The sequence below is a fragment of the Homo sapiens genome, chromosome 1, assembly GCF_000001405.40.
Source record: "Homo sapiens chromosome 1, GRCh38.p14 Primary Assembly".
Taxonomy (NCBI): domain Eukaryota; kingdom Metazoa; phylum Chordata; class Mammalia; order Primates; family Hominidae; genus Homo; species Homo sapiens.
The window spans coordinates 113,575,917-113,590,888 of NC_000001.11; the positions used below are offsets into that span (position 1 = coordinate 113,575,917).

Below are 14,972 nucleotides of genomic sequence, written 5' to 3' on the forward strand. Positions count from 1 at the left end.
TGGCCACAGCCGTTTTTCTGCGCTGCAGTGAGTTCCACACAGTCCGAACTTCCTGGCGGCTTCCTTAACACTGTGAGGGGAAAACCACCTACTCAAGTCTCTGCCATGGTGGATGCCCCTCCCCCCACCAAGCTCGATCATCCCAGGTGGACTTCAGACTGCTGTGCTGGCACTGAGAATTTCAAGCCAGTGGTTCTTAGCTTGCTGGGCTCTGTGGGAGTGGGACCCACTGACCAAGACCACTTGGCTCCCTGGCTTCAGCCCCCTTTGCAGGGAAGTGAACAGTTCTGTCTCACTGGAGTACAAAAAAAAACTCCTGCAGCTAGCTCAATGTCTGCCCAAACAGCCGCCTCGTTTCGTGCTTGAAACCCAGGGCCCTGGTGGTGTAGGCACACGAGGGAATTTCCTGGTCTGCAGGTTGCAAAAGCTGTGGGAAAAGCATAGTATTTGGGCCAGGTAGCACAGTCCCTCATGGCTTCCCTTGGTTAGGGGAGGGAGTTCCCTGGCTCCTTGTGCTTCCTGGATGAGGCGCTGCCCCACCCTGCTTCTGCTCACCCTCCGCGAGCTGCACCCACTGTCTAACCAGTCCCAACGAGATTATCTGGGTACCTCAGTTGGAAATGGAGAAACCACCCACCTTCTGTGTTGGTGTTGCTGGGAGCTGCAGACCAGAGCTTTTCCTATTTGGGCATCTTGCCAGCTCCCACAAATCAATTTTAAAGACACAAACCCAACAGAGAAATGGGGAAAGACTTGAATAACCACTTCACAACAGAGGAAATCTATATGGCTTCTAAATGTATTAAAAAGAATGTTTAATCTCATAAAGCAATTGCTTTATGAGGTTGAAGTGAAGGGTAAAATCTTGAGTAGCCCTCCTATTTTTCGGATGTCTTGTTCATTGTTGAGGTTGTGGATGATATATCCGGAGCATATGAATAGTATGGCTTTAAAGAAAGTGTGGGATTAAATAAACAGTGAAGTGACTTTACACACCCAGGATATTGGAAAAATCTTATAAGCCTCATGACAAGTATTGGTGTGGACAGAAGAGAATGCATGTTATGTGATTCCATTCATACGAGGTTGCAAAAGTGGCAAAACTAAGCTATGTTGCTTAAAAATGCATTATTTAGTTGGTACAATCATTAAAAAGGAAAGGAAATCATCACAGATGTCAAGATGGTAGTCACTTTTGAGGATGGAGGGAGGGAGAGGTTTATCATCAGAGACACACAAGAAGGTTTTTGAGGTCCTGGTAATGTTCTGCTTTTTGCTTGGGTTGATTTGCTTGTAACTAAACAGAAAGGGTAAATGATCAGTTATGTCAAATGTTATTCATAGGTCAGTTAAGATGAGGGTAAGACTTGGCCATTGAGTTCAGCAAAGTGGAGACTATTGTTGAAACATAGCACATTGTCTCAGTGAATGGTTGGGGAAAAGATCTTATTTGAATAGGCTCAGGAGACAGTGAGAGGAGAATTGGAGACTGTGTATGGCTCCAAAGAACTCTTCGGAGCAATTTTTATGTATAAAGGAGAAATGTGGTGAGAAGTGGGGGTGAGGGGGGATGTAGAAAGCTTTATATAAAATATACAGTATTAGGAGAATATAAAGATAAATTTTATGGAATGCGAAAAGTAATGGGGTGAAGGAAGGAAGATAACTTTATGTGTATTGGGTTGTATGGTTTTGTGGGGGGAGTGAAAATTTATAATACTTTGTAAAGAGAATTAACATTAAAACTATTTTCTAGTCTTAGAAATATATGGTAGAATTACACATACCATTCATATCTGTCCATGAAAAGAATCATGGACAACATCCTGCTCAACACCACCTTGCAGAAAGAGAAAGCCAAAAGAGATTAAGTAGTTGCCTAAATTGTGCCGTTAATAATAATCACAGACCAAAACAGAGTTCCTCCTGCCCTTTCGATCAGTGCTGTTTTTATAGTATTATCTATAATATGGCTTGCTTTTAAATTGTTTTTTAGTCATTATGTTTTATAGTGGAGTTTATTTGGATATCTCAATTAGCCTTTGCTGTATAACAGACTACCCTAAAACTTAGTGGCTTAAAATAGTGATGTTTATTTCTCATGATTTCATGAGTTGGGCTCAGTCGGGACCATTCATGTGGCTATAATCATTGACAGCTCAACTGGAGCTGGAGGGGCTAAGATGGCCTCATTCATGTGTCTGGGGCCTTGCTGCTTTTTGTTGGCTTGGGCTCTCTTTATCACTCAGTAGTCTAGCCTGGACTTCCTTGCATGGTAGCAGGAGCATTCCAAGAGGGTGAATATGGAAGTCTAGATCCCTAAACTTGGACAACATCACAGCCTTTACATTAAATTAATCAAAGCATATCATCAATCCAGTCCAAATTCAAGGGATGAGGCAACAGGCCCCACCTCTTAGGAGGTGCAGAATATCGTCATCATATTTTTTCCATCTGTCATAGATAATTACAAATTATAATTTTAATCCTTGAATTTCCTTTTTTTTTTAAGAGACAGGATCTCACTCTGTCGTCAAGGCTGGAGTGCAGTGGTGCTGCAATGATAACCCACTGCATCACTGCATCCTTCAACTCCTGGTCTCAAATTATCTTCCCACCTCAGCCTCACGAGTGGCTAGGACTACTGGTGTGCATCACTATACCTGGCTAATTTTAAAAATTTTTTTATAGAGACGAGGTCTTACTATGTTGCCCAGGCTTGAGTTAATGTCTAATGTTAACTTTTATTTAATATGGAGCTAAGAAGCTGTTGATTCAGAGAATCTAACAATGTAGTTTTGGTCAATAATGAGAAATATAAAAATTTGAAAATAAAAAACGTATTAAAAATTAAAGGAAAAAAGCTGTTTTCCAGATTTTATATCCTCTATGATGTAAAACAGGTAAAGAAATGCTTATTTTTAGAAAAAAAAATTGGGTTAAAAAATGGGGGAGAAAATTCAATATAGTCTTTGTTGCACAGAATGTTGACATAATCATTATTTTCTCAGATTATTACCATTAATTTGTTATCATAATCTTTGTTTTTTTTTGTGCATGTTACAGAATATAATAGAATGTAATGTGACTAAAAACAGTAGGAGCAATTAAGAGTTTCCCATGAATTAACTTACAGTAATAATAAGAGCATATTGCCAGGCACTGTCCTAAATGCATTTGTTTACAATTTCACTTAATTTATTTGACAGCTATGTATATTCAGCACCTACTGTGATCTTTGCACTGTGTCAAGACTTGGGGCTATTACTCTGAATCAAATCGACATGGTTTCTGCATGTTGCCATACCCTAGATAGAAATCAGGGAAGGTTCTCTAAAGGAACTTTCTAAGCCAGGACCTGAAGGATGAGTAGAAGTTAGCTGAGGTGAGAGTGGGAAAGGGAGTAGGAAGTCCTCTGGGGACATGACAACGACCTTGAAAGTATGTGAGTGAAAGGAACATTAAAATAATTGAAAAATATATGTAGTATACTAAAGCCTAATGTGAAAGGAATGAGGCAAGAAAGAATTTGGGGAGGTTGCCAGGGGCCAGATCACAAAGGGCTTTGTAAAATGTGTTGTTATAGAATCTGGATTTTATGCCAAGGATCATGGGAAGCCATTGATAGGTTTAGAGAGAGATTTTGTTTGTTTCCTCAGACTGTGTTTTAGAAAAGTCACTGACTGCAGTGACTAGGAGGAGTGTAGCTGGGAAGAAGTAAAGGTTGACCTAGGGGTACCAACAATAAAGGTCCTAGATAATGATATGAATTCAGTGATTATGGGAATGAAAAGAAGTATTTAGAAATACTTATGAGGTAGATTTGGTGACTGGATGTGGAGTAGAGGGAAGAGCCCAAGACGACTGACTCTCAGATTTCCTACCTGGAGTGCTATTACTGAATAGGGGCCTAAGTGGAGGAACAGGTTTGAGAAGGAAAGTGTTCTTGTCCTAGACTTGCAACCAATTCCCAGTGAAAATCCTGTATCTCTTTGTATTATCTAGTATTTGAAATGACATTGTGTAAAAGTGACTCTTGTTTAGTAAAATTCAGTCAAATGTAGCAATGCTGCCATAACCTGAATTTACACCTTGAAGCTGAAAGATTGTACTTTAGCATTTAGTGATCTGTTACTGTAGTTAATTTTATGAAACAATTTACTTACTGCTTAATTTTTAAAAATTACTTGAAGAGAATAATGGCTAAGAAGCCATATGTGAATACCTATCTTAAGCCTTTTATTCACATATAAAGTAACTTTATAACCAGTGTTTGTCCAACTTTTAAAAATAAAGTTCATTAAAATAACTTATAAAAAATATTATTTTTTGTCTTTCATGACTCTAGTAAGTAGAATGTTTACATTTATGCTAGAGATGAAAAAATTAAGTAGGATAACTACTTTAAAATAAGTCTGTCTTTCACCAGGTGTGCACATGTATCAAAACATGTTGTATGCTATAAATATATACAATTTTATCTGTGAATTTTACCTTAATAAAGTTGGGGCAGGGGAATGAAACATCTCTTATGTGTTCTCTACAAACTGAATATTCTTTTACTTTGAATATTTTGTAAGTTTAAAAGTACTTTACAACCTACTTTTTTTTTTCTTTTTTCTTAGGCACTACAAGGGCCCCCAGGGATGGAGAAGTACCAGGAGTGGATTATAATTTCATTTCCGTTGAACAGTTCAAAGCACTGGAAGAGAGTGGAGCATTGTTAGAAAGTGGGACATATGATGGTATGTCCCCAAATAACATCACTACCACCCAAAAAACTATCTGAACGACTGGAATTATTTCAGAGGGAATTTGACCAGTAAAGTACCACTTTTTGAAAAACTTTTTTTCCTCTCTGTTTTTGAGAAAATTTTCTTTTGATGGGGAGATTTGTAATTTATTAATTAAAATGGGATTAAATAATAAGCAAAAAAAATCCATCATATTTTAAAGTTGATTGTGAACAGTATACTAAAAATCAGCCAGACTGGCCAGTTTATATATTTCATAGTAATTCACATTCATCATGTGAACTCAGTGAGTATTTGTTGATTGCATTTTATTTGTGGTTGGAATTCAAAATCTGTACTTTAAAAAACTTACATGTACCTTGACTATCCTGGAAAAAAGAGAATATAAAATTTGGGGAGAAAACAACAAAAACAGAATAATTGGTTTTCTTTTCATTTCTGTTTCCTCTACCCACTTGATTCCATTGATATTTGATATTTGAGATCAATTTCCATTTTTAAATGACTCTGTTAGATCTATTTTTCCCCTTATGTAACATACCCTTCCCTGGCAAGCTTATCCACTTCCATAGCACCCTACGCTATGGTCCATTATTGCTTTTTCATACTATTATAATTGCCTGTTTATAAGCTCTGTGATAGTAATGGTCATGTCTTTCTTACTTGATATTATCTTCAGTGCCTAAAGATAGTGTTCAATAAATATCTAACCTGGAATTCAGCGTATCTAAATATGCATTTGTGTTCTATCCAAAAGAGAAATTCTTCATCATTTCTCTCTTTAGCAGCACCATGATCTCAGAACAGTGAAATCATTATTTACTTTCTCCTTTTTCTCACATTTCACATCCATTTGCCAAATCTCATCATTTCTTCTTTTGTAGCTGCATTCACAATACCCTTCTTTCACTTTCACCACCTCATTGTAGGCCCACTAGAAGAGCTCATGTGTGGACTATTGCTGTTGATCTCATTTGTTCCCATTTCTTCCACCCTGCCCATTGCTACCATGCTAGTCTTCTTCAAGAGCAGCTTTATCATGTCTCTCTCCTATTCAGAACTTTCAATGATTTCCTTTCATCTGCTAAGTTTAACCTAACTACCTTTTCTGGGCTTAGCGCCCATGACTCATTCATTTGTTCATTCGTTTTATCCTGTTTTATTCATTAAACAACCATTTATTAAGTACCTACTATGTGCCAAGTACTAAAAGAGAATCTCGGAATACTGTAATGAACAAGATTAAAGTGCTTTTGAAGTTTTTTTTTGTTTGTTTTTGTTTTTTTTTAAGAAGCCCTCTCCCCTTAAATGATGAAGATGCTCTACATTTTCTTCCACTAAATATAAGAGCTTGGTATGGACGAAGTGGCATATTACTTATTATTAATTGCTGTGTGCTCAATTCAAAGAAAATGCAAATTAAAATAGTTGTACATTATTTCACATCCATAGATTGGCAACAATTTTACAGTCTGATAATTGCAAGAAATGGAAACTCCCATACACTGCTGGCAAGACTATAAAATGGTATAATCCTTCTGGAGAGCATCGTGGCAGTAGCTGGTAAATTTGAAGATATACATAACTCTGACCTAGCAGTGCCCCTCTCTAGACATCTACTCAGGAAAAACTGTTGCCCATATGCATATGTAGACACATATGGGAATATTTGTTATAGTGTGAAACAGTGACAGAATGGAAACAACTCTCCTTTAGTAGAATGAATAACATACATTTTAATTTGTTCATAAAAATGGACTGCTATACAGCAGTTCAATGTACTGGATTTATAGGTATCAACATTAATAGGTCTTAAGAGGCATAAAAAGTATAAAATTATATAAAGGTATAAAATTGTATAAAAAGAAAGTTACAAAAGGATATGTACATTATACTATTTATGAAAAAATATGTGAAATATTGTGAAAATACTCTGTGAAGCTTTTATGAAAACAATAGTATTTACATGTTATAGATGCATATATACATATCCTAGATGTATATTCAGGAGGAAAGACACATATCAACTTCAGGACAGCTCAGGGAGGGAGTGGCTATAGGGACAGGAAGTTAGAGCTTTAATTGTAGATGTGGCCATATATGTATATATCCTTAAAGAGAAAAAAAGGGAGATTTGAAAGCAATCTAGCAATAATATCTAGATGATGTATATATAAATAAATACATGTACATATACTTATATAAGTAAATTTTATATAGATATTTCTAATACTATTCTGATACTACAGTCTGTAATTTTATATGTTTGAAATATTGAATAGTTGGCATTTCTGCAAAAATGAAAAAGCCTTCAGAAAATAAAAAAAACTTCAAAACAGCTCTAAAACAATGAAAATCTTTGTCAGTAACTATAGTTAGGGTTCACAAACCTTGGAATTGTATACTGTATCTGAAAACTTGGTATTTACCAACATCTCAAGAAAAAATAGATCTAATTTATTTTATTTATTTATTTATTTTTATTATTATTATACTTTAAGTTCTAGGGTACATGTGCACAACATGCAGGTTTGTTACATATGTATACATGTGCCATGTTGGTGTGCTGCACCCATTAACTCATCATTTACATTAGGTATATCTCCTAATGCTATCCCTCCCCCCAGATCTAATTTATTTATAAACAATGCTAATTTTTTTTTAATCTGAGCCCCATAATTATCTTTTTAAACAAGGAAACTGCCCAAAATTATTATGAAGTCCTAAAATCTTTTCAGTGATTATGGATGGCAGTTATCATATCCTGCATTTTTATATTTTCCCCTTAGAAAAAGGTTAAATTTTCTCGAGTTAGATAATAATTACCAAGAATTCTCAGTAAGATGTGTTTCTAGTAGTACTACTACCTTACTTAGAAAAAGTGGACTTTTTATTTCTGTCATGGTATATCCAGTTTCCTTGATACTGTGATTAATGGGCATAATTCAGGAAAAATAGAGACCCTCGAACCTCCTAATCCCCAGCCAAATCTCTGTTTGGTGTATTTCTGTGCCGGCTGCCCCAGAGAAGCGTGACTGGCTTTTTCATTGGTTCTTTGCTTTACTTCTGAGCTAGAAAGTTTGCAGAAAGTTTAGTCTGTTTTCATACAAATCTTTGCATCCATCTGTATGACTGGAGTAACTCCATTTCAAATATGGATTTGGAAACAAGGGAGTAGGTGAGTAGGGAGAGACAGGATGTCATTGAAAAGTTTTTTAGTTTCATTTTATTGTTTTGTCTTCATTATTTTAATGACAATTACTGCTGAAAGTCAAACTTCCAAAGAATTCATGTTAAATGTTTTCCCCCTCAAAACATGCACAATTTAAGGTAAACTATGTAATGTCTAGATTTGTCTCAGCATTATGGGGAAGAACCTATGCTATTTTCTATCTAGGAAAAAACAATCAATTATCTACCTCATTAATTTACCTTAGGTGAATGAGCATCTTAATTACTTCCTTAGGAGCTAAGGAATTTGATTAGAAAATATGATTTTAGAAAAATCATGAGTATTTTACTCTCTAATCATATATATATTTCTCTAACGTTAGCATAATGATTAATAGAATGTCAAAAGTAGTAGGAACCACAAACTGTTAATGTGGCTAGACCTGTTGAGTGCTTTCCCATATTATTTGGCGGCCTAGTGGGAACTGCATGACAAATTGAGAAGATACTCAATTGTTTTCATTCTTTTCTGGAACATTTATTTTTACTGCAAAAATTACAGATTCTCAAGAGAAAGTTAAAGTATTTCTTGCTTTCCTGAGAGTAAGCCAATACTGAATTATCCTGCTAATGTCTCTGTTTGTTCAATAAATTGTCAGATAAAATAATAGAATGCTCAGAAAAACTTTTAAAAATTACCCTTACATAAAAAGCCTACATTTTTATATGATCTGGTTAGTTCTTAGCTTAACCTTTACCTACATACTTCCTCATTTTACCAAAATAGTTCATTATGTTACACATTAGAACAAAATTATTTCAGTTAGTTTTATCCTCATTTACCCCCACCTTTTATGCCAATTAGTCTTACATGACAGCATCAATGCATTTAAATTCACAAAGTATGTCCTAATTCAGAACCCATGTAAGGCAATCCCTGTAGGAATGAATAATCTACTTACATACAGTCAACTTCCTGGCCTTAAACAAATAGTATTAAGATATTAGATAATATATGTGAAGAGCACTTGAGAAATTAGTTCTTTCCCCTATTTCTGCTCTCTCTTCTCGTAAGATGAGTGCTTTGAGCGCTTTGGCCTCCTTTTGGCCAATGGTAGATATTTCCTTTTTTTTTTTTTTTTTTTTTTGAGGCAGAGTCTCTGTCACCCAGGCTGGAGTGTAGTGGCGCAATCTCAGCTCATTGGAACCTCTGCCTCCTAGATTCAAGTGATTTTCCTGCCTCAGTCTCCCGAGTAACTGGGATTCACAGGCATGTGCTACCATACCTGGCTAATTTTTGTGTTTTTAGTAGAGATGGGTTTTGCCGTGTTGGCCAAGCTGATCTGAAACTCCTGACCTCAAATGATTCACCCATCTCGACCTCCCAAAGTGCTGGGATTACAAGTGTGAGCCACCATGCCCACCCCTATGGTAGATATTTCAAAACTTCTTTGTGAAAAACAGGGCAGAGACATACACTAGGTCAAATTGCTCTGACTCTCACTGCAACATTAGTAATTTCAGCTGCTATTTTATTCACTTCAGGAAACTTCTATGGAACTCCCAAGCCTCCAGCAGAACCCAGCCCTTTTCAGCCAGATCCAGTTGATCAAGTCCTCTTTGATAATGAGTTTGATGCAGAATCTCAAAGAAAACGAACGACATCTGTCAGCAAGATGGAAAGAATGGATAGCTCTCTTCCTGAAGAGGAAGAAGATGAGGACAAGGAAGCTATTAATGGCAGTGGAAACGCAGGTTTGTAAATAGATGAACAACTTCTAACTGATCTTCTAGATTGATTTTACTATTACGTTGAATTAAAAGCACTAAAATTTTTTACAAAGCATATGGAGAGCAAGTGATGGGATTTTAATTTTTTTGTAAAGGTTGTATGTGGAGCAAAGTGTATTTCTGTAGACCATCCTATAAGCTAAAGTGAGTTGTCCCAATTTGGATAAATCAATGATAAACTATCATTAGTAATAAAATATATGCCATTACCCTGCTGTTTAAAATATTTGAGATTTGCCTCTGATGTTGCAATGTGGGAGTCTTGTTGGCCTATGTCTTACTTTACAGGATGTAAACAATATATGGATGTTTTAGAATGTAGACTTCAGCCTAAACAAAGTAAATAGGGCTTGAAAGTATGCTGATAAAAATTATCTAAAAGGTTGGTTTATAATATTTTGAATTTAAATTTTGGATTCACTCAAAGAAAAATTTCAAATATGAGACCCTTCATTAAATGTAAAACCAACAGAAATTCAGTGGTGAAGAATCTGCTCCTTTTGAGTAGCCCTAATTAATGTGGTGATTGCTTAGAGGGTTATTAGACTTATAACTGAGAGTATAACTAGGAAACCATAGAATCACAGCTGAGCTTATTCAATGGTATTCATTGCAAAAATTCCATTCAGAACACTAGAATGTAAACTTCATAGGGCTGAAGTTTTCCTTTTTTTATGTACTGTTCTATCCCTTCCATCAAAAACATGCCTGGCATGTAATAGGAACTAAAATCCTCAAATTTGCAGAACACATTTCCTTATCATTTTCCCAAAGCACCCTAATCTTTTTCATCAATTATTAAAATGTGATATGTATATTTATTGAGTTAATACATTCATTGTTTATGTCCCACTCCAGAGTGTGAGTTCTGTTTTATAGTCCTATCTTTCACATAATACGTTTAATGTTAAATGGATTACCCCAATGTATTTAAATGTAAATACTAAAAACAGGTTTTAAAAGGTTTAGGTGAATTCACATCTAATTTTTAGGAGTTCCTAAGGGAACTCATCACACCGTTGAGCCTTTTAATGTTGATATCAGCTTTGCTATCCCACAAAATTAAGTCTGTTAACATTTAAAAATGCTAAACAGTAGGATTGGAGACCATGAATCTTTCCCAATATGGGAATTTATATGTTCTTGATTTAAGGGAAAAGAAAATGTTCTTTTTTTACTTCCTAATACAGAGCCTTTAATTGATCACTGCAGTTCTTTTAGCGGTAAACTTGTTTGTAATCTCTATAGTTGATGCTTCATGTAAGTCACTTGTTAAACTGATGTTATATACTCTTTGATGTTAATATTTAAAGGGAATATATCCAAGGGTGTGTGGGAGGCAGTTCGTATACTACCTCTTATGTATAGATACCATAGGACACTTACATTGAATTACATATTTCTTTGTCATAGAAAATATACAGGACATTTAAGTGAAAAAATACAAAGCACCCGCCTACAAACAGAATTCACCTTCTGAATAAGTATGAACTGTAGTTGTTAGTTAACTAATCAAAGTTGGGGAAATATGCTTTGTGTGTTGCTTTTGTTGTTTTTTGTTTATTTGTTTGTTTGTTTGTTTTGAGACAGAGTCTCCCTTTGTTGCTCAAGCAGGAGTGCAGTGGTGCGATCTTGGCTCACTGCAATCTGTCTCCTAGGCTCACACAATTCTCATGTCTCAGCCTCCTAAGTAGCTAGGATTACAGGCATGTGCCACCCTGCCCAGATAATTTTTGTATTTTTAGTAGAGACAGGGTTTCACCATGTTGGCCAAGCTGGTCTCGAACTCCTGGCCTCTGGTGATCCGCCTGCCTTGACCTCCCAGAGTGCTGGGATTACAGGCGTGAGCCACCGTGCCCAGCCTGTGTATCGCTTTGGAATCCCTGCCTTGAAAAATCAGAAAATTGTTCGGGAGTAGAAATGAGGAGAGGATAGGTAGAGGTTTATTTGTGCACACCAGTATGTTTATTATTTTATATCTTGCTGAAGAAATAACCCAAAAGAAAGTTAAAATGGTCATGTACAATAACATATGTTACGTAATAATTATTTTTTTTCTAAGAAATGGTTTTATATAAAGAACATCTTCCCAAGTCATTGGCTATTAAGCAAACTCCTTTATTCAATTGCTTGGAACTATATTAAGAAAAGTGTTATAGATCATATACTTGCTTTTACTTTTCTCCAACATGGTTATTTCCCAAGAATGTAACTCCTTTCCAGATTGATTTTTCCATTAGGTACCTTTTAATTTCTATCATTTTTTCTGCATACAAAATAAATCATGTGTTTGATTCATTTATTTATTCAACAAATATGTAGTGAGCACTTACTAGAATACTAAATGCCATTGTGCTAAATGCTAGCAATAAAGCAGTGAACAAAACGGACAAAAACCTGTCATGAACTATACCTTCTGGTGGGAGAGACAGAACTGGCCAACTTAAATGAATAACATACATCGTGTGTTAGATGGTGCTACAGAGAAAAATGAAGCAGAGCAGGAGGTGGTAAGATGTGGTGGTCAAGGTTTGCAATTTTAGACAGTGTGGAAGAAAAGACTTGAAAGAATCAAGTGAGTAAACTCAGGATATCTGGGAGAAGAGCATTCTAGACAGACAGAACTGGAGGTACAAATGCCCAGAGATGGGAACATACCTAGAATATTCAGGCAATAGCAAGGAAACCAGAGTGGTTGGATACAATGTGGACAATGCATTCTATGTGGTTGGAGCAGAGTGATGGAAGGCAATAGAATAGAATAGTAACCAATAAGATCATTTAGATAATGATGGGCATGAGGAGGGAAGAATGTATATAATAAAGCATCTTGTAGGTCATTGGAAGAATTTTGATTTTTATTCTGAAATGAGAAACGATTATGGGGTTTTGATTCAAAGAGTAACATGGTACAACAGTTTTTAACAGGCTTATTGTGACTACTGTATTGAGAATAGGCAAAAGGAGGACATGGGCAAAATACCCTAACTGGGATACCAGTTAGGAGGTTATTGAATGTGCAAGGAAGAAAGTGATCAGATGCTGCTGATAACTCAAGTAGGATGGAACTGAGAAATGATCATTGGATTTAGCAATGTAGAGGTTATTGATGACCTTGATAAGAATAGTTTAATGATAGGAATTCAAAAGCCTTGTTGGAGTGAGGTCCAGAGAGAACTGGAAGAGTGGAAGTGGAGGTAGCAAATATAAACTCTTTCAAGGTGGTTTGGTGTAAAGAGGAGAGAAATAGGTTGGCTGCCAAGGGGTAAAGAGAATTATTTTCTTTTTACTGAACTGGGAACATGTTTTTATGTGGTTGGATATGATCTAATAGATAGAGAAGATTGGTGATGCAGGAAGGAGAGTGAAAGAATTGCTGTAGGCAAGAGAAGATGGGATATAATTTATAATTGGAGGGTTAGCCCTAGCTAGGAGTACAAACAGTTCTTCCATAGTAACAGATGGTGGAGTCAATGGGCACAGTTTCTGTGTAGATGTGATGGTGGGAGTTTGTGGAAGTTTTCTTCTGCTTGCTTCTATTTTGTTAGTGAAATAAGACACAAGGTCATCAAATGAGATGAGGGATAAGGGAAAAGTAGTGGATGGTTTAAGGAGAAAGAAGGTATGAAATAATTATCTTGGAGAATGTCAGAGTGAATCAACTAAAGAAATGTGCTATGATCATCATGCATCATTAAATGCCCACATAAGGTTAGTGATCATGAATTTAAAGTAAACTTGTCAATATTGCCTGTATTCAGCTGTGTATGGTGACATGGAGTAGGTGGAGAGTAGGATTTAAGCAGAGTTCTGATTTAGCCAGGCAGTATTATGAAGTAAGGTTAGGGCAAAGGAATCAGGAATATTTACAAGGGAATAATTATAGTGGTTCATCATGGAATTTAAGTTGGGTTAGCAGGGCAATGGGGAAATGGGTAGAGGATAAAGAATAGTGAAAGGTAGTAAATAGTAGGGCATGGTTAGATAAAGAATGGTTGGAGTTGAAATACTATAGAGAAGGATATCTAAGGATATATAAGATCTCTGTCAGATTCTCTGAATCTGAGCCATTGCCTGCAATTTGAAGTTGTTATAGTGATATTACATAGCATCGTTTAAGTTTTAGAAACAAGTTTTAAGTACACGAATTGTGAACTCCCTAGACAGTACCCAAATTTTAGTATTCTTACCTACATTATGGGCTTTGGGACTCTAAAAGGATTTTAATATTACTAAACAGAATTATATTTAACAACAGGAACTCTATTGAGTGTAATTTTTAAAAATTACTATTATTTAAAGGCCAGTGTTAAATGTGTACAAGGCAGCTTAGTATAGCAGGTGAGAGCATGGACCACTTAGATTCAGTTCATGGCTTTGCTGTTTATTGGCAGTGTAATTTTGACTAAGTTAACTTAACCTCTCTGTGCCTTAGTTTTCTCAGTCTATAAAACAAGGAGATTAATAATAGATACTCACAGGGTTGCTGTGATGATTATGAGTTAACATACAGAAAGCACTTAAAATAGAGCCTGACACATAAAAGGACTACATTAGTGCTGCTGTAGCTGCTGTGGCTTATTAGGATTTATACTGAATTAATTCTATTGTTGTTTTTTGCTTCTTTCCAAGACTAGCATCAGAGGTGCTATACAGAGTTAATTGTCAATTACTAGGGGAAAAGAGTTGAATATGTTGGTTATTTTAAAATTTATAGCAGAATGTGGACATAATAGACAAGAAATTTGCCATATTTATGTATTTGGAATTTTTTTAGAAAGGAAAGGTGCTGTTTGAAGAAGAATATAACTTTACCCACTTTTCACACCTTTCTGTTTTGAACAATGGCAGAAAACAGAGAGAGGCATTCTGAGTCATCTGACTGGATGAAGACTGTTCCAAGTTACAACCAAACAAATAGCTCCATGGACTTTAGAAATTATATGATGAGAGATGAGACTCTGGAACCACTGCCCAAAAACTGGGAAATGGCCTACACTGACACAGGGATGATCTACTTCATTGAGTAAGCAAATGTCTCTATCTCTTCTAATGTGCCCTAACATGTTGAGGATTGTCTAAGATTTTTTTAAACCTCATTTTAGACACATACCTTTTTCAGAAGACTCATTTTTTTTCTTTCTTTAAAAATATTTTTCATAAAACTGACAGTTGATTTTTAATCAGATTTAATCTGACACTTCATTTTTATTTGACTTGGATAAAGGAATAGTGTATTTGACTTCTGGTTTTATA

General features: G+C 35.7%; 1 protein-coding gene and 1 pseudogene across 5 annotated transcripts in view; one reads left to right on the top strand and one right to left on the bottom strand.

Moving 5' to 3' along the window:
• The window catches only part of MAGI3 (membrane associated guanylate kinase, WW and PDZ domain containing 3), a 295,409-nt gene that overhangs the window by 185,402 nt on the left and 95,035 nt on the right, over positions 1-14,972 (top strand). For all 5 annotated transcript variants that reach the window (XM_017000974.2, NM_152900.3, XM_005270737.4 and 2 more), the window contains exons 3-5: positions 4,626-4,745; positions 9,471-9,680; positions 14,568-14,742. In XM_017000974.2, the coding sequence (XP_016856463.1) occupies positions 4,626-4,745; positions 9,471-9,680; positions 14,568-14,742 (505 nt within the window). The remainder of the gene's footprint in view (positions 1-4,625; positions 4,746-9,470; positions 9,681-14,567; positions 14,743-14,972) is intronic.
• Positions 835-978, bottom strand: MTND5P20 (MT-ND5 pseudogene 20; annotated as a pseudogene).